Source organism: Homo sapiens, chromosome 1 (assembly GCF_000001405.40).
Source record: "Homo sapiens chromosome 1, GRCh38.p14 Primary Assembly".
NCBI lineage: Eukaryota > Metazoa > Chordata > Mammalia > Primates > Hominidae > Homo > Homo sapiens.
This window is the reverse complement of record NC_000001.11, coordinates 22,911,696-22,936,434: the sequence shown is the minus strand read 5'-3', so window position 1 is coordinate 22,936,434 and position 24,739 is coordinate 22,911,696. Positions and strand designations below refer to the sequence as shown.

The window sequence follows — 24,739 nt, the reverse complement described above, 5'->3', positions numbered from 1 at the left end:
ACATTGCTCCATTATTCTTGGACCTTCAGTAAGGCCTTGTCAAAAATGCCAGTCTGGTTGGTGATCTGGGTTGTGGGGAATTAAGAATCTGTTTACAGAGGGACAAAGGTTCCTCGGGCCTGTGTTGGGCAGGACAGTGTATTGTCAGTCCTGGCTCCACCACTTAGTGGTTCTCTGGTAGACTACTTAACCTCTCTGAGCTTCAGTTTCCTCACCTATAAAATGAGAATAGCACTAATACTGCTCCCTTCGTTGGCTGTGAGGATTAAATGAGATCATGTATTTAAAACCCATAGCACAATGTCTAGCACAAGTCAGAGTTAAATAGCTACTGTGGCTACCTGAGGCAGCTGAAGGAGACCTGGACTTTGTAGGAATAATTACAGGTTGTGGTTGGAGAGGGGAGCGGGGACAGAAAGATGGGGGCATGTGCGGAATGACACTATCCCGGGCCCTTCCCTAGAGATACTGGTGTTTGCAGGGGCCTCCCCAGGGGGATCAAAGTGTTACCAGATGGAAGGTCTTGACTGTGAGTTGTCCAGGTTCTTGGCATGTTGAATGAAGAATTGAACAGGATACACAAAGCAACAAAAGAACAGAGTAACGGAAGCACAGATTTCTTGAAGCAAAAGTACATTCCGCAGAGTAAGTGCAGGCCGGAGCAAGTGGCTCAAGAGGCACTCCCCCACCATTAGGGTTTTTATTAAGCTAAAAGAATTTGGTAACACCCCTAGGTGCCATTTAGAGGCCTCCAATTGGCTACAGCCTATGAAGGATTGGCCAGAGACCAATCAGAGATTGAAGTGGAGGCTTGGCCCTCAGTCAATCAGAGGCTGACATGGAAACTTCTGTCTTGTTACCACCTGAGTGAGGATGTGGCCTGTCTGTTGGCTAATCTTGCCTAGAACTGGCTGCACCTGCTCTTCTTTTGCTTATGCCTTAACCCCTGGTTACCCTATTTCCCTATTTTCCTGACTCAAAAGGAGGCTCTGTTATTGAGCAGGTTGGAGAGTGCTCTGATATCATGGGAAAGTAACCCCGTGTGGTGGGCAGAATAATGGTGCCTCAAAGATGTCCATGTCCTTATCTCCAGATTCTGAATATGTTAGGGTTCATGCAAAGGGAAATATAGGTAGAATTCAGTTGCTAACCAGCTGACTTTTATTTTTATTTATTTATTTATTTATCTTTCAGACAGGGTCTTGCTTTGTTGTTCAGGTTAGGGTGCAGTGGTAAGATCCATGGCTCACTGCAACTTTGACCTCTTGGGCTCAAGTGATCCTCCTGCCTCAGCCTCCTGAGTAGCTGGGACCACAGGCGTGCACCACTACACTCAGCTAATTTTTTATTTTTGCAGAGATGGGGGATCTCACTTTGTTGTCCAGGCTGGTCTTGAGCTCCTGGCCTCAAGTGATCCTCCTACCTCAGCCTCTCAAAGTGCTGGGAGTACAGGAGTGCCACTGTGCCCATCCCTTAGCTGACTTTTAAAATAGGGAGATTATCCTGGATTATCGGGATGGGCTCAATGTAATCATAAAGGTCCTTAAAAGTGGAAGATGCAGGCAGAAGGAAATACGAGATACAGAACAGTTAGAGAGAAATGCAACATTGCTGGTTTTGAAGGAAGAAGGGGCCATGAGCCAAGGAATGCAGGAAGCCTCTAGATGCTGGAAAAGGCAAGGGAATAGATTCTCCCCTACAGCCCCTAGAACCTCAAGCTCCGCTGACACCTTGAGGTTAGCCTGTCGGGTCTTGCACTGGACTTCTAACCCATAGAACTATAAGATAATACATTTGTGTAGTTCGAGCCACCGTATTTGTGGTGATTTGTGATAGCAGCAGTAGGGAATATACACCCATGTGTCAAGGGAGAGGAAACTGAGATCCAGGAAGGTTCAGCAATTTGTTCGAGGTCACACAGCTGGAAGCTCTTTGATTCTTCCAGAATCTACTACTCAAGTAGCCATGGACAAGAGGTTCACCTGCCCTGCCCCATCCTTCCAAGAGCATCTGCAATATTCTCCCTCCCTTTCCTGTGACCTGACAGTCTTTCTTTTATGAATGCAGATTTTTTTTTTTTTTTTTTTTGAGATGGAGTTTTACTCTTGTTGCCCAGGCTGGAATGCAATAGCATGATCTCGGCTCACTGCAACCTCTGCCTCCCAGGTTTAAGTTCAACCTCCTGCCGCAGCCTCTCGAGTAGCTGGGATTACAGGTGCATGCCACCACGCACAGCTAATTTTTTGTATTTTTAGTAGAGACAGGGTTTCACCATGTTGGCCAGGCTTGACTTGAACTCCTGACCTCAGGTGATCCACCTGCCTCGGCCTCCCAAAGTGCTGAGATTACAGGCATGAGCCACCACTCCCAGTCTGAATGCAGAAATTCTAAGACTTAGAGCTGGAAGTGTCCTTAGCAAACATCTCATCACTAGTGAAACGGATTCTAGTGGTTTTTGAATATTTTTTTCTTTTTCCTGCCAAGACATAGATGTGGTAGGTTTTTGAATATTTTTAAGCTATGTAATTTTTGTTTCAAACAACATGTAAATCTGATTTTTTGTTTCTGCTTTTTTTTGAGACAAGGCCTTACTCTGTTGCTGAGGTTGGAGTGCACTGGTGCACAGCTCACTGCAGCCTCATGACCTCCTGGGCTCAAACAGTCCTCCCGCCTCAGCCTCCCAAGTAGCTGGGACCATAGACATGTGCCACCACACCCTGCTATTTTTTCTTTTCTTTTCTTTTCTTTTTTTTTGTAGAGACAGTCTCACTATGTTGCCCAGCTGGTCTCAGACTCCTGAGCTTAAGCGATCCTCCCACTGGGCGTATCCCAGCTACTTGAGAGGCTGAGGCAGGAGAATTGCTTGAACCTGGGAGGTGGCAGTTGTAGTGAGTCGAGATCGCGCCACTGCTTCAACCTGGGTGACAGAGTGAGACTCCGTCTCAAAAAAAAAAACAAAAAAAAAAAAAAGAAGAAAAAAAAAAGACAGAAAAGAAAAGGAGCCCTTCAGAAAACCTGGGGGCCCTGCAGGGGAAGAGGAAAAGCAAGGGGTTAGGATTCCTTTCCCCACCTGGGGAGATTAAGACTCCGTGGAGGGAAGACCCAAGCCAAGGACTCTGGCTGTGGCCTCCAGCTGGGAGGTCAGGCTTCAGCCCCTTCCCACCTGGGGGAGGAAGAGAGATGGTGAAGGGGAAGACCCCAGGGCCTCGGGCAGGGAGGAAGCCTGGATCAACTCACTCCTAAGGGTGCGCAGGATTTATCAGCTATTTCTCCAGGAGTGGTAGGATTGAAAAAGAACAGATGAAAGAAGGCAGTGCTAAAAACCCAAGATATGACCCTTTAATGGTGCAATTCCAGACATTGGGGATAAGTGAGGGGCCCCTGGCACCCAGTGAATCACACCATTTAAGGACACTGGGGAAAGAAGGAAGGCAGCTGTTAGATAATTGTCATAGCAATCCCGAGGGTGGGGATTAGAAACCCCATTTTGCTCAGAGAAGTGAGCTGACTTGCCAAGGTCACAAGTTTATCAGTGGGATCCCAACACAGGTCTCTAGGTCTCTATAACTCTCTGTACCAATCCTTGTGGGATTTAGGAGTGTGAACTGAAGATGGGTTTATTGGGTCACCTGAGTGTGTGCTGGCTGGGCTGGGCACCTGTCATTCTCCCTTGGGCCCAGGGGCTCCTTCATGGCCCCTGAGGCTCACTCCAGAGTTAGTGACCCTGTAAAGCTGCGAAGAAGGATTCAGCCTCAGGCTGCGTTTGCCAGAAATTTGGTTTCTAAGAGGGAGGAGGAGGAAGAAGAAATTCTGTGTATCGCACTGAAGAGCTCTAGGGATGCAGAGAAGACATGGGGAGAGAAGATGCTGGAATTTTCTGAGAAGGGAGTTTGAAAATCTAGGAAACAGTTGAAAGAACTCAGCGTAAGAGCAAAATGTACCTGGGTGTTGCCCCAACCAGGCCACATTCAGCTTGACCTTCAGCGCTTGAGATACCCCATCTCTGTGAGCCTCAGTTTCCACCATTGTGAAATGGGAGAACAGCCCGGTGTTGCATGAGAGATAGTTCACACTGGATATTGAGAGCCAACTGGTACATTTCCAGGAATTTTGGGAGCCAGTTGTTAATGTCATCTTTAAAAATTAAATTCTAGGCCGGGTGCGGTGGCTCATGCCTGTAATCCCAGCACTTTGGGAGGCCGAGGGGGGTGGATCACGAGGTCAGGAGTTCAAGACCAGCCTGGCCAACATGGTGAAACCCCGTCTCTACTAAAAATACAAAAATTAGCTGGGAAGGTGACACGTGCCTGTAATCCCAGCTACTAGGGAGGCTGAGGCAGGAGAATTGCTTGAACGGGGCCCCGGGAGGCGGAGGTAGCAGTGAGCGAGATTGCACCACTGTACTCCAGCCTGGGCTACAGGTGAGACTCTGTCTCAAAATAAATAAATAAGTAAATAAAAATTAAATTCTGTAATAGAAATCACTTATGTCACTGAGGAATGAATGAAGTTCCAACATAATCTTTATTGTTTCACTTTTTTTTTGAGACAGGGTCTTAGCCTGTCGCCCAGGCTGGAGTGCAGTGGCACGATCATGGCTCCTTGCAGCCTTGACCTGGGCTCACATGATCCTCCCACCTCAGTCTCCTGAGTAGCTGGGATTACAGGCACATGTCACCATGCCCAGTTAATTAAAAAAAATGTTTTTTTTTTTTTTTTTTTTTTTTTTGGTAGAGATAGGGTCCCACTATGTTTCCCAGGCTGGTCTCAAACTCCTGGGCTCAAGCTATCCTCCTGCTTTGGCCTCCCGAAATATTGAGACTACAGGCATGAGCCATTGCACCTGGCCTATTTCACTTTTTATGTTTTTTTTTTTTTTTTTTTGAGACAGAGTCTTGCTCTGTTGCCAGGCTATAGTGCAGTGACACGATCTCAGCTCACTGCAACCTCCGCTTCCTGGGTTCAAGCAATTCTTCTGCCTCAGCCTCTCGAGTAGCTGGGACTACAGGCGCGCGCCATCATGCCCGGCTAATTTTTGTATTTTCAGTAGAGACAGGGTTTCACCATGTTGGCCAGGATGGTCTCGATCTCTTGATCTCGTGATCTGTCTGCCTTGGCCTCCCAAAGTGCTGGGATTACAGGCGTGAGCCACCACACCCGGCCTCACTTTTTATCTTACCTTCTTAACTTAAACAGGAATGTCAACCAGCATCCAGTAACTACAGTCGGAAGTTGGTTATTAAACCTGAAATAGTCCACCCTGGTAGTAACCATCTAGGTGGTCATAACATTCAGTGATGAAATATGATGGAGGTGTCATGGTTGGCGGGGTCCATTGGCTGACCCTCCCCAGACTGCCTCCAACAAACTCGCCATCTGAAGACAAACAGCACCCTGGCTAGGTAACTCCAACTGCAAGACCAGTCTCCTAGTTCTTCACCCCAGTGACTGGCTGCTCCCGAGTTCTTCATGTAGAGAAATTCTGAGGCCAGTAGCCTGGAGCTGGCATACATTATTATTACTATTATTTCTCATTTTTAAAAATTTCTGTAGAGACAGGGTTTCACCACATTGCCCAGGCCGGTCTTGAACTCCTGGCCTCAAGTGATGCTCCTGCCTTGGCCTCCCGAAGTGCTGGGATTACAGGTGTAAGCCACCGGGCCCAACCAGTATTATTAATTAATAAGTCAGAAGTGGGGCCTTTGAAAGGGGTACCCAGGGCAGCTGATAGGGGAATAATCTTTGATTCGACCTTCTCTGCTTCCTGCCCCATCACTGTATCTCTAGCTCCTCACACATTGGCCTGGCTCCCAGTCAGGGTAGGGGCGGGGGCAGGGAGTCAAATACCCACCGCTCCCCACCTACCCCAGGATATTATAAAATACTTCTCTCTGGGGCTCAGCTCCGGCCATTGCCTGCCCCATCCCCCAGGGGGCAGAACGGCTCCATGGAAAAAAGGCCAAACTCAGCCTCCATCCCTGCCCCGCCTCCCATCCCCCACTGTCAGTGCAGGGCTGCTTCTAGGGGGTCACAGGGAGTAGCGCTTACAGAGCCTTTACTATGTGCCAGGCTGTCTGCTGGGCACTGTGGCCACCCATTAGCCCTATTTAGCCCTCCCTACATAGTGTGGGCCTATTTAGCCCTCACGAAGGCCTTGCAAGGTGGAGGGTTAGCACTCCCAGCTTGACTCTCAGGCCATCAGGGAGACTTTCCACCCCCCTGCCCTTCCTGCCTCCTCCTCCTACCTGAGCCTCCCGAGTAGCTGGGACTACAGGTGCACACCACCACACCTGGCTAATTTTTTGTCTTGGTGTTTTTTTTTTTTGTTTGTTTTTTTGGTAGAGATGAGGTTTTGCCATGTTGCCCAGGCTGGTCTTGAACTCCTGGGCTCAAATGATCTGCCCCCCTCGGTCTCCCAAAGTGCTGAGATTACAGGTGTGAGTCACCACGCCTGGCTGGGTCTGAATTCTTGGTGCTTTTAATAACCATCTAGGATGATGCTGCTGACACCCTGCCCCTGGGTTCCTTGAGCTCCTTGCTTGCCATCTATCCTACCTCCTGTGTCCTGTGGTCATTCCCTTGACTTAACAACAGCAGCCTCTCAATCATCTTAATTTTAAGGACCCCGATTTCCAACTACTACCTCTCATATTCCTAAGTCACTTCCTCCAGCTTCCTCTTTCCAACAATCTCCCCCTGCACCCCAATAACAAATGCACTGGTCCCACACCTTTGCCTTGTCCTCATCCGTCATGCTGCCTTGCGCTCTGTACCTACCTTTGGCCCCAAGGTGTATTGCTATTGTCACTCATTTTTTTTTTTTTTTGAGACAGAGTTTCACTCTGTAACCCAGGCTGGAGTGTAGTGGCATGATCTTGGCTCACTGCAACCTCCGCCTCCCAGGTTCAAGCGATTCTCCTGCCTCAGCCTCCCAAGTAGCTGGGATTACAGGTGCACGCCACCACGCCTGGCTAATTTTTGTATTTTTAGTAGAGATGGGGTTTCGCCGTGTTGGCCAGGCCGGTCTTGAACTCCTGACCTCAGGTGATCCGCCTGCCTCGGCCTCCTAAAGGGCAGGGATTACAGCGTGAGCCCGCGCCCGGCCGCTATTGTCACCCTCGCATTTACTCTTATCTCCTTGGTTCCGCTCTGGCTTTGCCAGACTCATCTGGCTAAATCCCAGACTCCAGATTTACTCCTCTGCCTCCAGACTCATATATTCAATTGCCTGCTTGATGTTTAAGAGGCATCTCTAACTTATGTCTAAAATGGAATTCTCCATCTTCCCCTAAACCGGCTCCTCCTGCAGTCTGCCTCATTTTAGTTAGTGGCAGCTCCATGTTTCCTGTTGCTCAGGTCAGACACTTTGGAGGACTTTTTGGTCCCGTTTCTCTCACACCCACATCCAATCCATCAGCAAATCCTGCTGGCTTGACCTTCATACTGTGCCTGGAACCCATCGCTTTTCACCACTTCTGCTCCTGCTGCCCTGTTCCAAGCCACTCTCCTCTCCCTCTAGGGTTATTACCGTTATATCCTAACTGTCTCCCTGCTTCTCCCCTGGCTCCCCGTGATGGTTGGTTTTCTGTGTCATCTTGGCTAAGCTGTAGAACCCAATAATTCAAACACTAATCCAGGTGTTGCTGTGAAGGTATTTGTAGATGTAGCTCACATCTACAGTCAGTGGACTTTAAGTAAAGGAGATTATCCTCAGTAATTTGGGTGGGCCTCATCCAATCAGCAAAAGGCGCCTTAAGAACAAAATTGAGGTTTCCCTAAGGAAGGAGAAATTCTGCCTCTGTACTGCAGCATCAGCTCCTGCCTGAGAGATTCCAGCCTGCTGGTCCACCCAACGGATTCTGGATGTGCTAGCTGATTTGGGTAAGTCAATTCCTTGAAATAAATCTTTTAATGTATATCGTACCGGTTTTGTTTCTCTGGAGAATCCTGACTGATACATCCCCCCACCATCATTCTGCAAGGCAATCAGAGCAATCCTTTTAAAAGTCAGATCACGGCACTGGTGCTCTCAGACACTCCACAAGCTTTCATCTCATGCGGAGAAAAGTGCAAGTTCCCCTCATGGTCCACAGAGGACCCCAGCTCTCCATACTCTCCCCCTTATTCTTTCTGCTCCAGGCATCCTGGCCTCTTTGCGGATCCTTGAGCACTCCAGGCATCCTCTGGCCTCAGGGCCTTTGCTCCTGCTGTCCCCTCTGTCTGGAAAGCACTTCCCCGGTGAGCCACTCGCTTGCTCCCTCACCCTTTCAGCCATTTCTTTTTTTTTTTTTTTTTTTTTGAGACAGAGTCTTGCTCTGTTGCCCAGGCTGGAGTGCAGTGGTGCTATCTCAGCTCACTGCAACCTCCACCTCCCGGGTTCAGGTGATTCTCCTGCCTCAGTCTCCTCAGTAGCTGGGATCACAGGCATGCCTACCACATCCAGCTAATTTTTCTACTTTTAATAGAGATGGGATTTCGTCAAGTTGGCTAGGCTGGTCTCAAACACTTGGCCTCAAGTGATCCACCCGCCTTGGCCGCCCAAAGTGCTAGGATTACAGGTGCAAGCCACCATACCTGGCCCCCTTCAGTCATTTCTTTGTTCATATGTCATCTTCTCAATGAGACCTTCCCTGACCATCCTGTTTTTGTAAACTGAGGGATAATGTACAAAAATGTGTCTGGTGCACTAATCTTTGTGCCTGTTTTTTTTTTCTTTTTTACGTATGCCTGTACCTGTGCAACCACCAACTAGGTCAAGAAGTAGAACATTTCCAGCCCCTCTGTAAGGTTCCACTCCACACTTCCCAGAAGTAACTATTCTTATGAATTCTATCACCATTGATGAACTCTTCTTGATCTTCATACAAACGGGATCTTAGATTATGTGCTCTTCTGTGTCCATTCTGTCTATTTTAAAATTGCAATCCCGCTCAAGAACTCCCCAAAGCCTTTCCTGCTAATTTTTTCGTGGCCTCCTCCCCACCTAATATATTGTGTTTGATTGTTTAAGTGCCTATCTGCCCCTAGTAGGACATGAGCTCTGTGTGTGCAAGCGTTTTTGTCTGTTTTGCTCACTGCTCTATTTCCAGTACCTGGTGAACTGACCATCGCTTATGGGCAGCCAATAAATATTTGCTCAGAAAATAATGAATTAGGCTGGGTGTGGTGGCTCATGCTTGTAATCCCAGCACTTTGGGGGGCCGAGGTAGGCAGATCACTTGGGGTCAGGAGTTCAAGACCAGCCTGGCCAACACGGTGAAACCCCATCTTTACTAAAAAACAAAAAAACAAAGATTAGCCGGGTGTGGTGGTGTGTGCCTGTAATCCTAGCTACTTGGGAGGTTAAGGCATGAGAATCGTTTGAACCTGAGAAGCAGAAGTTGTAGTGAGCCGAGATTGCACCACTGCACTCCAGCCTTGGCAACAGAGGAGACTCCGTCTAAAAAATTAAAAAAATGAATTAATCTCCATTTTCTAGATGATGACATTGAGGCTTAGAGAAGTGAAGTGACTTCCCTGTGTCACACAGCATTAATGATGGAGACAGGATTTGAACTGTCATATACCTGAACCCAAAGACTGCTCTTAACCCGCTGTTTAGTCCATGGAACCCTCCCTGAATGTCTCCATGCATGAGAGTCTGTGCACATGTGTTCATGTGTCATCGTGGGTAGGAAGGTGAATGAGCACAAGGGTATTGATTTATTTGGAAATATTTTCTAAGTGCCTACTGTGTGTCAGCCACTGTGCCGGCACTGGGGAACTTCTTGGTTAGCAAAACAGACACATCTGTTTACTTGTGGCTGTATGTCTTTGTGTGTACGTGTGTTTACTGCAGTGGATGGATACATGCTTGTATGTGTGTGCTTATGTTGGGAGTGCTTGCCCCTCTCTGTTTGCAGGTGTCTTCTGTTGTGTGTGTGAGTGGAACTCTGTGTCCAAGTGTGGAGGGACCTGAGATAGCGGAGTTTTAGAGCAGACCACTGGGTTCGAATCCTGGCTCCTGCCCTTGCTAGCTGTGTAACTGTGGGCAAGTTTCTTCAAAATGCTACACCTCAGCTGGGCGCAGTGGCTCATGATTGTAATCCCAGCACTTTGGGAGGCCGAGGCGGGTGGATCACGAGGTCAGGAGTTCGAGACCAGCCTGGCCAACATGGTGAAACCCCATCTCTACTAAAATTACAAAAAATTAGCCGTGCATGATGGCGCGCACCTGTAGTCCCAGCTACTCGGGAGGCTGAGGCAGGAGAATTGCTTGAATCCGGGAGGCGGAGGTTGTGGTGAGCCAAGATCGTGCCGCTGGACTCCAGCCTGGGCAACAGAGTGAGACTCCGTCTCAAAAAAAAACCCCAAAAAACAAAAAACAAAACGCTGCACCTCAGTTTTCCCATCTGTGAGATGGGGATGATAACAGTTGTTTACTTTCTTGGGTGCTTTAGGGCAGTGCCACTTAAAATATAGGCAGGAATGTTGCCTGTCCTAGAACTATTTGTTACCCGTGTACGACACAAGATAGGTACAGACATTTTAGAACCTAGTGTGACATCCTGACATTGCCAGGGCATCCAAACATGTGACTGGTGGACTCTGGCCTTGTGGAACAGGGTTTGGGTGTTGGACAAGTTTGGGTGTTGATTTCACAGTCATACCACCTAGTGGATCCTCAACAGGTTGGGGGAAAAAAAAGCTGGGCATGGTGGGGTACACCTGTAGTCCCAGCTCCTCGAGAGGCTGAGGTGGTGAGGATCACTTGAGCCTGGATCTCGAGGCTACAGTGAGCTATGATGATGCCACTGCACACCATCCTGGGCGACAGTGTGAGATGTCATCTCTAAAAATAATAAAAAATGTTAAATAAAAAAGGAAAAACAAATCTAGTCTTCCACCACAAATAATTTGAAAAGCACGAGTTTAGAGGATTAAGCAGGATGATACAGGGAAAACACTCAGAACGGTGCCTGATGTGGAGTAGTGTTGGAGAATGTTCTCTGTTGTGATGACAGAGGCTGAGTATGTGTACATGTGATGCGAGCAGAGTGCGGGGCTGAGTTTGAGCATGAGCCTGCATCTGTGTGCCTGTGTGTACACGCGGATGTGGGGCGGGAGGGATGTCACGGCTTTGTGTGTGAATGTGTGTCTGTGTGCAGCTGACAACATGACTGTGTGCACCGTAGGAGTTGCTTACAAATGAGTGTGTGTAAATGTGCAGTGCCTCTGGCTGAAAGTGGGTGTTTATGGATGTGTGTGAGTGTGTAGGGCTGGGGGGCTGAGGGAAGGAGATGGGGTCAACTCCAGCACGGTTTCTGCTGCCTGGGGACTCACCATCACCAGGGACAGTGCTGTAGCAATAGAGTCTTTTTTTTTTTTTTTTTTTTTTTTTTTTTTTTTTGAGATGGAGTGTCTCTCTGTTGCCCAGGCTGGAGTGCAGTGGTGTGATCTCGGCTCACTGCAACCTCTGCCTCCCGGGTTCAAGCGATTCTCCTGCCTCAGCCTCTCAAGTAGCTGGGATTACAGGCGCCCACCACCACACCTGGCTAATTTTTGTATTTTTAGTAGAGACAGCGTTTTACCATGTTGGCCACGCAGGTCTCAAACTCCTGACCTCAAGATATCCACCCGCCTCAACCTCCCAAAGCGCTGGGATTACAGGCGTGAGCCACCGTGCCTGGCTTGTAGCAATAGAGTCTTGGTTTTACCTTTGTGCCATCCACAGGGGCAGCAAGGAAGGAGGTGCTCGCAGCAAGTGTGATTGGTAGAGGGTAGGGGGTGCTGGTGGCTCCAGGGTCCCCTGCACTGTGTCATCAGGGTTTCTGGGGCAGGGCTGATCCAGGCAGACACTTTGATCTGATGGGTTTGGTGGAGGAGTGGAGGGGGGCGGGGCGGTGGGGAGGGGCAGAGCATTTCTATAGTCCCATGGGGGTGGGGGTGGGGTCTCCATAGCCATGACTCCAAACCCAGTGAGACACTATGGGAAACAGCCCCTCCCTTGTTTCTCTTTTTCTCCTTGATGACATTTTGTTGTGGCAGCCATGATGCCCCTGTGTCTGAGAAATGACTGAACTTGTGGATGCCCATTTGGAGCCTGGAGGGGCAAAGATTGGTCTCAGCTGTCCCAGGGGTGAGAGAGAAGGGTGAGAAGAAGGTTGAGAGGAGCCAATAAGGGTTAGATGAGAGAGCTGGGAGTTGGGGACCTGGGTCAGGGTCCCTGAGCAGGGAGTAGACCCCTGTGAGATTGTACTGGATCTCAGAATGGGAAGGAGAGTCTAAGGAAAGCCCAGTTTGGTCCAGGAACTGGGGCAGGTGGAAATAGAAAGGGGATCCAGGCTTCTCAGAGGAACCAGGCTGGGAGACAGAAGTCATCTTGGGTGATGGGTCAGAGGCCCCAGGACACCTAAGGAAGGCCTGGAATTTGCAAGCTGAGCCACCCGTGCTGTGTGCCTGTGTGTGGTGCCTGAACCAGCTGACCTCACCATGAGCTGTCACAGACTGTCCTCCTTAAGGGATCTGGTGGCATTGCCAGCCTGCTTTATGAACAGCCATAAGGGGTCATATATTACGTTTGATCTAGCAATCACTTCTGTGCCAGTGTTACTTACATAGTGTCTTAGTCTGTTTCTGCTGCTATGACAAAATACCCAAGACCGGGTAACTTGTAAACAGCAGAAATTGATTTCTCACAGTTCTGGAGGCTGGGAAGTCCAAGATCAAGGCACCAACAGGCTCAGTGTCTGATGAGGGCCTGCTCCTTATAGACGGTGCCTTCTCTGTGTCTTCACTTGGTGGAAGGGATGGAAGGGCCAAAGGGGACAAACTCTGTGTCCTCATGTGGCAGAAGAGCAGAACAAGCAAGCTGACCAAGATGTGAAGCCTCTTTTCAGAGGGCCTCAATCCCCTTCACCAGGGCTCTGCCCTCATGGTTCAATCACCTCCTAAAGGTCCCCACTAAATACTATTGCATTTGTGATTATGTCTCAACACAGGAATTTTTGCGGACATTCAGACCATAGCACGTAGAAATTCACAAAAGATATTACGTCAGTGTTTGACTTCATACCTTTGCATCTGCCATTCCCTCGACCTGGAATACTCATCTCCATCCTCTCTCAGCTTCCTGGAGAGCTCCCAGTCATGCTCTGGAACCCTGCTCAGCTCCTCAAAGGGGTGTCCTTCAGGGTTAGTTGCTCCCTTCCCGGAAGCTGTCGACACCTTGAATGCCATGCACATCACCTGCGTTGTAGTGACCCATGTACCTGCTGGTCTCTTCCACTGACTGAGCACTTCCACGAGGGCAGGCATGGGTCTCATTCACTGCAGCGCTCCCAGCACCAGCCTAGTGCTTGGCTTTCCATGGGTGCCTGATTCATGGGCAGTGAAGTGGCCCAAATGCCCTGATAAGCTCTTGGGGGCAGGAGTCATTTGTTTCCCCCACGGCATCTAATGCAGTACTTTTGTGCAGTAGGAATTCAGTAAGTACTTCTTGAATGAATGAATGAATGAATGAGTGAGTTATGATTCACTCATAGCTCACAATTCTGCAAGGCTGTACAGGAAGCATGGTTCTGGCATCTGCTTGGCCCCTGGGAAGGCCTCAGGAAACTTACAATTATGGTGAATCAGAGGACAGCCTCCTGGTTCCCATCCCTTTCTGGGCTCTATGCCATGGTGTTTTCCAGGCCTAACTTTAACCCCTAGCTCCAGATCAACCTGCAACTCCCAGAGCATTACCCAAGTGTGTTCCCAGGGACACTGGTCCCATGAGATGCTCTCCCAGAGGGAAAGCCTGCAAATGGTAACACCTTCTTAGAGATTCACATTGCACTTTTACCATATTTAAGACTCTGCAATATCCTGGGACAAAGAAATCTGATTAACTTGCCTTACCCCAGAATTTGCCAAATGTATTTGACCATGGAACCCTCACTGAATGTCTCTGATATCTACTTGACAAATATGTATTGAGTGTCTAGCATGAGGCAAGTGATATGGTTTGGATCTGTGTCCCCACCAAATCTCATGGCGAATTGTAATTCCCATTGTTGGAGGTGAGGCCTGGTAGGAGGTGATTGGGTCATGGGGGCAGAGTTCTCATGAATGGGTTAGCACCATCCCCACCATGCTGTTATCGTGATGGTGAGTGAGTTATGGTGAGATCTGGTTGTTTAAAAGAGTGTGGCACCTCCTCCCTCTCTCTCTTGCCCCTGCTTCCACCAGGTGACATGTGTGCTCCCCCTTTGCCTTCCATCATGATTGTAAGTTTCCTGAGGCCTTCCCAGGAGCCCAGCAGACGCGAGAATCATGCTTCCCGTACAGCCTTGCAGAACCGTGAGCCAATTAAGCCTCTTTTCTTTATAAATTACCTAGTTTTGGGTATTTCTTTATAGCAATGTGAGAATGAACTAGTTCAGCAGGCATCGTCTTGGTTGCAAAGAACACAGCAAAAGTGTATGATAGACATTGGCCCTGCCGTCGCGGGCCTCCTGCTCAGCACAATAATAATAGCTCATGTCTGTGAGTGCCAAGGCTTTCCATGCTCTATCTCACTGACTCCTCACCCACACTCTAGGAGTTAGAAACAATTGCCCTTGTTTTACAGACATGAAAATGAAGCTCAGCACAGTTATGTGACCTCTGCAAGGCAGCTAACAAATGGCAGAGTTGGGATATGAACTCTAAGCCCCTGACAGCAGAGCTGAAACTGTTAAAACACAACGGAGTGTTCTTAGAACACTTAAAAGCTGCTTTATGTCAACACTCCACCCTAGCCCAGGCCAAATCCGCACCCCAACTCCAGCTCCAGGCCCAGCCCTAGCCTAGCTCCATTCTTAGCCCTGGAAAACTCCTAGTCATACTTCAGAACCCTGCCCAGGGCCTCTGAGAGCTCCTACTTGTTCTCTGGGGAACCTCAGAGGAAAAATAAATACTGAGTCCAAGTGATAATTTTTACAATTCACATTTATTTTGGGAAAAAAACGGTTCTGCTAAAAATACTCCTACAAAGGCATTGGAGTAACAGGGTCAGGGTTGATCTTGGACACAGCTGGTGAGATTTCCTTGGTCACAGCAGTGGGGTCCGGAGGAGCCAGGTCTGACCCACGGCGGTTGGAACCCCAGCTGTATCAGTCCCTGACCTCCCAACATTGTCAGGAAAACCCATATTTATGACCACAGGAAACAGGGTTCTGGGAAACCCTGCCAGACAGCCCCATACCCTGGTTGAGAGCTCCGGTCTGCATAGCTCAGGCTGGGGCAGACACTTCAGGAGAAGGAGTGTGCACACTCACTCCCACAGCCCATGGCTCTGACAGCAGCTCCAGGGAGGCCACGCTCAAAGAGGGTGCCACAGTGCCCCCCCGGGGATCTGGGATTTGACTGGCAAAGGATCTGACAGTGGAGAGGGGCTGAGTGTGTACCACTGGTAGCAGCATAGCATGGTGATTAAGTGGGGGGTACTGGGGTCAGAGGCCACTTACTGGCTGTGTGACCTGGGAGAGCCACCATGTCACGTCTCTGAGTTTGCTAGTCTGTGGAATGGGAGTAATAATTGTACCTGTCTCACAGAGGTGTGAGGATTAGGCAAGACATTGTGTATAAAAAGTTGGGCACGGTGCCTGGCACATTGCTGGCACTCAAGAAATAGCAGCTATGATTATGATTTGGGGGCTGGGCATGACCAAGTGGTAATTACTCTTCTCTAGAGTCCAAAAAGGCTGGTTGTGAGTGAATGTCCCTGCCTGGCCTATGCTGGGCCAGCCTCAGAGGCTCAACTTGGTGCCCCCTGCCCATCAGAGTCCCTCTCCACAGAGGGGAAAGCGGCCAGGCTGATGACGGAGTGATTCACAGGCACCTCTGCCGTGTGGCCTCCCAGCTCTGGAAGGCAGTGACTAAGATTAGAAAGGTCAAGGGGGGTCTTGGAAGGGGGCGAAGGCTGTGTGGCCATGGAAGCTATGTCCCAAATGTCAGAGGGAAGGCACCTGGCTCTGGAGTTTGCAGCAACACCCTGTGGTTGTCCAGTGTTAAGACTCTGGCTCTGAATAGGAAGGGGTTCTGCTTCGGAAATATTCCTCAGTGGGGGTCTCCCAAGGCAAATTCCTGGCCCTGCAGCTTCCTTGCTGCAGGGAGGGAAATTCCACCCCAGATGAGTCCCTCCCCAGACTGAGCCAGTGGGGCCCTGCTTGGTTCCTAGGTCCACCAGCCAGTGGGCACTGTGGCCTGTGTGGGGCTTTACTCAGCTGTAGCCTGGAACAGCCAGCCCCTTTTACCCCCAGGAAGGCCTGATGCATGCAATTCTGCCACTCTACCAGGGAAAGACGTTCTGCACCCCACTCAAAAGGAGGGTCTTTGGCCCTTGCCAAGGTGCATCTGTAACTCAGATCCAAGGGATGGAGCTTTTCTTAGTATCTGTTTTCAGCTGTCTCCCTCCCCATCTCTTTCTCTCTTTCTTGCTCTTTTTTTTTTGTGCTTTTAAAAAAATGCTAGGGCCCACAGGTCTGGGGAACAGCAACGAACAATGAGACTCGAAATTTCAAGAATTAGCAGCATAGAATCATAGTGTGATGGAATCTTAGAAACATGGAATCATTCCATTGGAATCTTAGAATGATGGGGTTTTGCAATCCTAGAATCTTGGAATCTTTCACCTGTGGAACGTTAGAATTCATGACTCTTGCAGTCTCAGCAGGGCCCCCAAGAGTGTATGTGGTCCTGGCTGTGACCTCCTCCCTCCTCCCTCTCCTGCTCCCTCTCCTTCAACAGGGGCCGTTAGGTCTTGGGTAGAGACAGGGCCTTTGCTCTCTCTCTCCTCCAGGAAAAGCCGTGTCTTGGTCTGGGTAGCCGGGCTTGGTAGTGGTGGTGGGGCATCTGTAGCTCTAGGTCCAGCTGGAGGCCCCGCCTGGCCAGGTGTTGAGTGAACAGGTCTGGACCATAGCCTTGGGGTCTGTGGGGTCTCCCAGGGTGGCCCTGAGTGGGTTGCTGGGCCCCTCCAAAGTATTAAATTTCTGCTGCTTCTTGTTATATCAGCTTTCTCAAGGCAGCCTTCATGCTGCGAAGCTAAACTCAGACAGACTCTGGGTCTGAGGGTCTTTCTAATTTTCCTGAAAGCTTAGCTCTGTCTGGGCACATTCCTGAGGGTCAGCTCTACCCCCTACTTCATGGGTCCTAATCTGCGTCTGGGTTTGGGCATCCTATCTGAAAATGTCCTGCTTTTTCTTAATCCCTGTCTACAGCAGACCCTCTCTCTGCAGACATCAGGGCAGTTTGTTATGGGGGAAGAGTCAAGTGAGGATTTCCATGTCTGGAGGAATCTCCTGGAGGAGCTTGTCAAAAAATGGAGACTCTTGGGCCCAACCCCAGGGATTCTGATTTAGGGGGTTGGGGTGGCGCCCAGGAGTCTGCAAGTTAAACAATAAATAGCCCAGGAGATTCTGATACAGGTGGGCGATGGCAAACATTTTGAGAAATCCCAGGAGGTGGGAAGGAAGGACTACAGACAGATGGCCTGGTTGGAATCTTCTGGGAATCACCTCTGGGAATCAGTTTCCTCACTCATAAAGTGGAGAGGATAATGCTTTGGCACCTGGCATATGGTAAGTATTCAGCGATTATTGCAATCCCTGTGGTTCCAACCTCCTGAGATTAGCCTCCGAGGGGGTGTGCCCGGAGTTGACTCTCTTTCCTGTTATGTGACAAAGGCCAAGTCCTTTTCTGCAGCCAACACTCTGACCTTAGTTTCTCTGAAGGAAAAACTGGCAGCTGCAAGACCATTCTCCACCTTAAGTTTGATGGCAGAAGCCATTTTGCAGAAGGCTGGGTCAAGGCCACCCGGTGGTGTATTCGCATGCGTATGTAGCATCACACAGCACAGTGGGGCTCCCTCAACTTCCCTCTGGGTTTCCCCAGGATAACACATTATTGGAAAAGACAGGACCCCAGACTCATTCCAACATGTCTGGGTGATCTCTCCAGGACTAGGGTGACCAGGGCAGGGATGGGTTTCCTGAGCAATTTCTCATGCCCACCCGCACGCCCGCCCCCGCCAGGCTCAGCTCCTTTGGTGTCTGGCAGCTTTCTCCCCACCCCACCCCTGCCACCTCTAGAGAAGCCTGGAGGAAATGGGGTAGACATCAGCCAAATTAAGAATCAGGTAGCACAAGACCCAACCCTGCTGTTCCAAGCAGCTGAAGTGACTCTTTGGATTATCTGCGTCAGTGAGGATGGAAACTGAAGCAGCAGGGCCTGGCTTCTCCTGGAATAAATGAGGGCCGCTCCGGGGGCAATTCCTTCTCGGGGAGAGGAGTAGCTGGGAGGCATCCTGCCCCATCTGATGGCTGAACTGGTGCTTCTTCCTAGAACCTGATGCTCACTATGCTACCCTCCTGCTCAAGAACCTGCTGTGGCTGGACTGTACATCACGCCTAAACTGCCTCAACCTCCACTTATATCAACCTTCACTTCCCCCGTTCCACTGGCCCATCCAGACACAACTCCTCACTGTGTTGGACCATTCTGGCAGCTGCGTCTTGGAGTGACCTTTCTTTTGACCTCTGTCATTTTCAAGACAGCCTCTCCATGAAGCCCTCCCTGACAGCCCCAGCCCACTTGAGCTTTCTTTTCTCTTATTGGCCAGCATCAGACACCAACTGTTTCTCATCATCTAATTGAGCACGGTAGAGGAGACATTGGAAACAGAAAAATCCAAAGCTCATGGCCTTGCTCTGCTCCTTCCTGGCTGTGTTACCCTGAGCAAAGTACTTCATCCCCCTGAGCCTCAGTTTCCCCCCAAAATATGCAGGGGGAATACTCCTTCCTCATGGGACTAAGGTGTATAAGTGTTTTGCACAGCCTGCCTCACCCAGTCCAATGCTCTCATTTTACAGATGGCTCAGTGAGGGGAAGTGTCTCCCCAGATTCACATCCCTAGTGACAGGAGCAGGCTGCTACCCTGCGGTCATGACGCACTTTCCCTAGCATCATGTGGTACCCTGTCTTTTGAATGCATTTACGTTATCTTCCCTAGCAAGAGTCTTCCAGCCTTTGGTACCATCTTCAAACAACAGGGGCCCTGGAGTGAGCCAGGAGTGGCCCAGGGCCCAGCCCTGGGGTGGGTGATGGTCTGGGGCCTGGGTCCTTCCTGTGCTTCAGTGAGGCAGGAGGATTAACTGGGCAGGGCGGGAGCTCCCAGCCTTTTGGAGATGAGCCCCTGATGGGAGAGGAGTGTGAGGCTAGCAACTGCTCACAAGGTGGTGGCAGAGAAGCCCCTAGATGGTGGCAGGGTGGGGACCAACTAGAAATGATGGGGAAAGTTCAGCTGATGCCATCTGAGTAAGAGGCACTGCTGGTTAGTAAACAGCCATAGCCCTGAGTCCCTTAAGTGTCTCCTACTGCCCCGCCACCCGGGTCCCTGCTCTGAGGCCTCTGGTCCAGCACTCAGGCCATCATCTATTCTGATTGGTCTGCCCGAGTCTTCGCAGTTGATATTTTGGATATCATCCCCGAGGGAGAGGACTGCTGAGCACCAACAATGACCCATTCTGGGGGCTTCGTAGCAGTAGGGGTGCGGGTGGGTAGCATGGCTCTCTCCTACCCAGCCTGGCGCTGCACAGCTCTGCTAGCTGCACCCTCCCAGAGCAGCTGGTCCCCATTTCCACGGTGCCCTGGCCTGTGTTTACAAGGCAGCTTTCTTTCCTGCAGTACCAACTGTGTGCAGAGCAGCCGGAAACTCCCCTAACACTGCTGGGCAGGCGGGGGCTGGCACTTGGGGAGGTTGAGCCAGGAAAGGATTAGTAACCAGGCAGCGGGTGGCTCAGAGCTGTGTGCCTGGGTGAGCGGGTGGTGTAAGTGGAAGGCGCTTGGCAACATGGCCTGCCACTCCCCGCTGAGCAGCAAGCAAGAGGTTGGGGCGGGGCGACTGCCCCGGTAGCGGGTGGGGTGGGTGGGTGGGGGTGGAAGAGATGTGAGCAGCGCCTGTACCCCTGGGACAGTCACAGTGACATCTGTTTGTTACCCTGAAGTGGAGACACAGAGGTCTGGTAGCACCTGTGCTCTGGGAAGCAGGTTTGCAGGGGGCCATGGCCACTGAGGACCTCGGCCCTGGAGGGTGGAGGGGCAGACATGCTGGCTAGTGGTCACCAGCTCAGCGGCTTAGGACAGGAAGCCATCTGACGGGAAGCACCGACTGCCAGCCCCATGTGGGGCCCCAGAACAGTTGGGGGGTGGGCTGGGGAGACAGAACTAATCTAAAGAGCATCAGGGCAGCTCCCACCAGAAGGTGACCTTGTGTGCCGAGACAGCTGCCACCCGCGCAGGGCACCTTTGGGGCACAAAGTGAAGGCCAGTGGGCCACTGCCGGCCAGTTTGTGGGAAACCTGCCAATGCTTTCCCTGTGGCTTGCCCTGCTGTCCCCATGGGGGGCCCACACTTCTCTCTAATCCCTTCCTTCCCTTTGCAGCTCAGGCTCCCGGAACAGGTGAGTGACAGACGATGGGCTGTGCTGTGCTGGATGTTCACTCTGACCGTGGCGCTTCTAGCTGGCTGCCTGTGGCCCGAATCTTTCTCACTGGCCATCTCCTCGGATCTGGGAAAGGTCCCGAGAGGTAGTCTCCTTGGCTCCCCTTCCTCAGCCAGACCCGATATCCATGGCACATCCATCTCCCTGCCTCCTCCTGCCACGTGGACAATTCTGATTTTAATGTGAGCAAGAGCTCATTTGCACAGAGAAAACCAGAGTTGGCTGTGCCTGGGGGTACATGAGCACTCTAAGACCCTCACGTTCCCACTATGACAGCTCACCTGACACTCAGACCCTCTTCCGAGTGCACTCTCGTCAATTCTCTGCTACTTATGTACCTGCAGGGGCTCACCCTGATTCCCAGGGCATCGAAGGCTGAGTTCTGAGCCACTTCCAACTCACTTCCTTTGTTGCCTGTGCTTTTGACAAGCCAGGGCCAGAAAGGCCACGTGGAGCTGTCGTTCTCCATGTGTTTTCTCTGCCCTGGGCTTTCTGGAAGCCTGAGGGAGGAAGGGCTGCTTAGAAGAGCAACCCTTAGCACCTGGGTCACGTGCATCCCAAGGGTACCAAGGTCTCCCTTGGAACTTACAGAGAACAGGGGTCATATTATAACTAAAGCGTTTATTTCCATTCAATTCACTAACTGATTGCTCTGCTTGGGTGTCTGTGTTGGTTCACAGGAGGGAGTCTGTGGCCAGATCCCTAGACTGAGGGCGTCCCCATGGCCAAGACCTTTAGGCCCAGCAAAGGTCTGGTGGGGGGAAGGAGGTGGGAGAGAAATCACACACTTTCTCTCCAGGGAAGGGAAGAGGCATGCTTGCCCGTGTCTCTGAGCGCACCCTCTGGAGGGCAGGGTATCACAGTGAATGATCCGGGTCCTGGCCTCCGATGCAGCCTGGTTTAGGCTCCCAGAGGGAAAACTGGGTTTTGACCATCTGAGGGCACTCAGGAGCCTCAAAGGGGCCTATTTGCCTGGGAAGTACTAGATAGATTGGGGCAGGAGAGTGGGAAGTGGGCAAGGACTTCCAGCCCTGCAGCCTCAGAGCCCACTTCCTCCTCAATCTGTCCCTTTCATCAACAGTCCTGGAGTGGGAAGCTCCTCCACCTTGGCGCCTCCCCCTCCACACCCAAATCTCACTCCAGTCTCTGAATGGCCCAGATGGCCCCATGGCAGTGGGCTTTGGTGAGGCCTGGTGGCAGGTGGGAGGAGGGAAGAGTGTCAATGAAAACCGTATAAAAAAATCCAGAAATGTGCATATAAAATCTCGCCCTTGGTGTATTGCCTAAGTCAGTAAGCAGAAAGCACCTTCTTCCTGGAGAAGGATCAAGTCCTCAAAAGGTAGGAAATGTCAAAGTGTCACTTCATTGTCATTAAAAAAAACCAAAAAACAAAAAACAACCCAACAAACAAACCCCCTAAACCAAAACCACCCTGTGACCAAAATACCCCCGAGTCCAGGAATTGCTGTAAACAAACCCAGATGCAGGATCAACCCTTCTCAGCGGCAGTCGGAGCTGACGGCAGTCACTGCAGTATCAGTCCTCGAGGCAGGGGCTGGCGGGAGTGGGCACCAGGAGGGCCAGGCTGCCAGGCTGTGCGCGTGATATGTACCTGGAGCTGCAGACCTGGGGGTTGCCCATCCTCAGGAAGGCTGACCTTTCTGGGGTCCCCGCGTTCTCCCTGACCCAGGAGGACAAAAGCCCCTTTCAGCCCTGTGAGCCAACAGGAGAAACAGTGTCTTTCATTGGAGTTTCTAAAATACTCTCCAAAGACAGAAAAATTCTTCTGTTTGCCCAGTGGTGGCAGGAATAGATTTTCCCAGAGGGGTTCTCAGGGTGGCTGTCTGTCCATCTGTCCCGTCCTCCAGGCGCTTGGTTGTTGAGTGAGGCCTAGAGGAGCAGCAGGGACAGGAGCCAAGGGCGGCCCCTGTCTCTCCCCTTCACATTTGTTTTTCTGAAAGTGTTTCTTGGCTCTGGCCAGGTCACCTTCCCAGAGGGAGTTGGAGAGAAACTGCTTTTGTCTCCGATTGGACACATCGCATGAATCTCCCAAGCCCTTTTTTATCCCCCGCAAGAACAGTCATTGCTTTCCTTATGAGAATCCTCTTTAAAAAATATTCCTTGTATTTCCCGCCCCCTCCCAGGATCTGTTTTCTTTTTTCCCATTCCCTTTTTTTTTCCGTCGTTTGAGTTGCATGTTTTCTTGGTGACGTCTCGTGGCTGGCACCGCTTGGTTCTTCCCGTGGCCCGTGGCCTCCTGGCGAGTGGCTGGCCCTGCAGTGGATAGAGCACCAGGAGGGCCGGCACGTGGGGCAGAGGGGGCGGGGCTTGGAGGAAGAGGTGAGCCGAGGCAGGTGAATGTCAAACCTCCACAGACTGAATCTGGTTCATCTGCGCCCGCATCACCTGGATACTGTTCAGGATTTTTTTCTGGTGGCCAGCCAAAGTGACCCCAACCCGGAGAATGTCCCTTTGGGAGAGAAGCACGTGTGTTAGGGAAATATGCGGGTGAAGGGGTCCTGTGCCTGGTAGAGAGCTGCCTGGGCTTCCCCGGGAGGAAGATGGCAAAGCAAGGAGTACTGGGGAGTGGGGAGTGGGGAGTGGGCAGGCAGCCACAGCTGGAGGGAGCGACTATGGTGTGAGGTGGAAGAGCACTTGAGTCGGAATCAGGGTCCCTAGGGGGCCTTCTCTCCCCTGCTATTGGGAGGGGGAAGCCAGCTTACATTTTCTTTCTTTTTCGAGACAGAGTCTCGCTCTGTCACCCAGGCTGGTGTGCAGTGGCGTGATCTCAGCTCACTGCAACCTCTACCTCCTTGGTTCAAGCAATTCCCCTGCCTCAGCCTCCCGAGTAGCTGGCATTACAGGTGCATGCCACCTTGCGTGGCTAATTTTTTGCATTTTAGTAGAGACGGGGTTTCACCATGTTGGTCAGGCTGGTCTTGAACTCCTGACCTTGTGATCTGCCCGCCTCGGCCTCCCAATGTACTAAGATTACAGGCATGAGCCACTGTGCCCGGCTGCCAGCTTGCATTTTCTAAGCACCCGCTTCCTTTATATCTCCCTCAACCTTCCTACCAACCCCCAGTTTGTAGGTGAGAAAACGGAGGCTGAGGGAGGTGCTATGATTTGACCAAGGTCACAGAGCTTGTAGGTGGCAGGCAGACCTGGGTATCAGTCCACAGGTGACTCCAAAGTTGGCCATCTTGCCCCTTGGTCCCTGCTTCCCTATTGGGACATGATCTATTCCTCACCCTCCAGATCACCCCACTTGGCTGGTGGGGCCGGTGGAGAGGGGGTGCTAAGGTGACAAGCAGAAGTGGCTGGGCACTTACTCCATCATCATCTGAGACACGACGTCAAAGGAGGTGAAGCCGGCATTGGCGAAGCTCTCCTTGTACTGCCCCATCTTGATGGCCTCCAGCCACTCGTCCACCGTGTTAAAGCTGGTGTAGTCGGGGATCGTGCGGTCCAGCAGCGGCAGGTTGATGCTGGGGTTGGGGGTGGGCGACAGAGATGGTCAGGGCACCTGTTTGCAGGGAGCGTGCAGGGACATGCCTGTAGGCTGCGTATGCGTGAATGTGCACGTGTGCATCCATTTATGTGAACACAGGTGAAGGGGTATGTACGTGAGTATTTCTGCATGATTGCGGGCATGGGTTTGAACCTGTGGAAACATGCACGCATATATATGTGAGCATGCGAGAGTGAGTGTGTGTGCAGAACTCAAAGCTGGGGCCAACTGGGAAGTCTAGGGAAGGCACTGCAGGGATGGCCAAGAGGCTGGACCTCGGAAGTGAGGAGGGGAAGACGCAGCTCCATGCTTATTTTCAGGAGGAGGGATTTCAGCTAGACTAACTATTCTGGTTATTCACAGTTTCCTCTCCCAGTGCCATTCTCCATCCTTCTCCACCCTGGTTTGTGCTATAGGAAGCTCACCTTCTGGACTGTCCAGAGACTGTATCTCCAAAGCCCAGCTAAGGCTGGTGGCGCTAATGGGAATGACTTCTTGGCTGGCAAGGAGTGAAATGGCTCTCATGAGGTTTAAAGCTCAGAGGGATTTGATCTGGAGAGTTAGGGGTGGCTGACACAGGGTCATGGTGAGGAGAGACAGGCAGAGGGAAGCATGATGATCTCCCACTCATAAGAACATGCTGGAAGAAGGACTTTGGCCCAAGTCCTTCCTAAGGACTTGGCTACAGCCAGCCCTAGATCCTAAGTATACCTGGCCAGATGCCC

At 51.0% G+C, this 24,739-nt stretch overlaps 1 protein-coding gene across 7 annotated transcripts in view, besides 2 other annotated features; it reads right to left on the bottom strand.

Annotated features, from left to right (window-relative positions):
* Nucleotides 5,873-6,057: a silencer, noted in NCBI's record as "fragment chr1:23256871-23257055 (GRCh37/hg19 assembly coordinates)". NCBI's record gives its function as "represses an EF-1alpha promoter that drives an FKBP-Casp9 reporter gene in an ReSE screen in K562 erythroleukemia cells {active_cell/tissue: K562}" and the evidence as "EXISTENCE:reporter gene assay evidence [ECO:0000049][PMID:32094911]".
* Nucleotides 11,195-11,695: an enhancer, noted in NCBI's record as "H3K4me1 hESC enhancer chr1:23251233-23251733 (GRCh37/hg19 assembly coordinates)". NCBI's record gives its function as "activates a minimal SCP1, AML or CMV promoter by ChIP-STARR-seq in naive H9 embryonic stem cells {active_cell/tissue: H9 hESC(naive)}" and the evidence as "EXISTENCE:reporter gene assay evidence [ECO:0000049][PMID:30033119]".
* Nucleotides 14,935-24,739, bottom strand: part of EPHB2 (EPH receptor B2) — a 210,663-nt gene continuing 200,858 nt past the window's right edge. For 6 of the 7 annotated variants that reach the window (NM_004442.7, XM_006710442.5, XM_047449104.1 and 3 more), the window contains 2 exon segments: nt 14,935-22,973; nt 23,836-23,991. In NM_004442.7, the coding sequence (NP_004433.2) occupies nt 22,865-22,973; nt 23,836-23,991 (265 nt within the window). In that variant the 3' untranslated portion in view covers nt 14,935-22,864. 7 annotated transcript variants of the gene reach the window in all.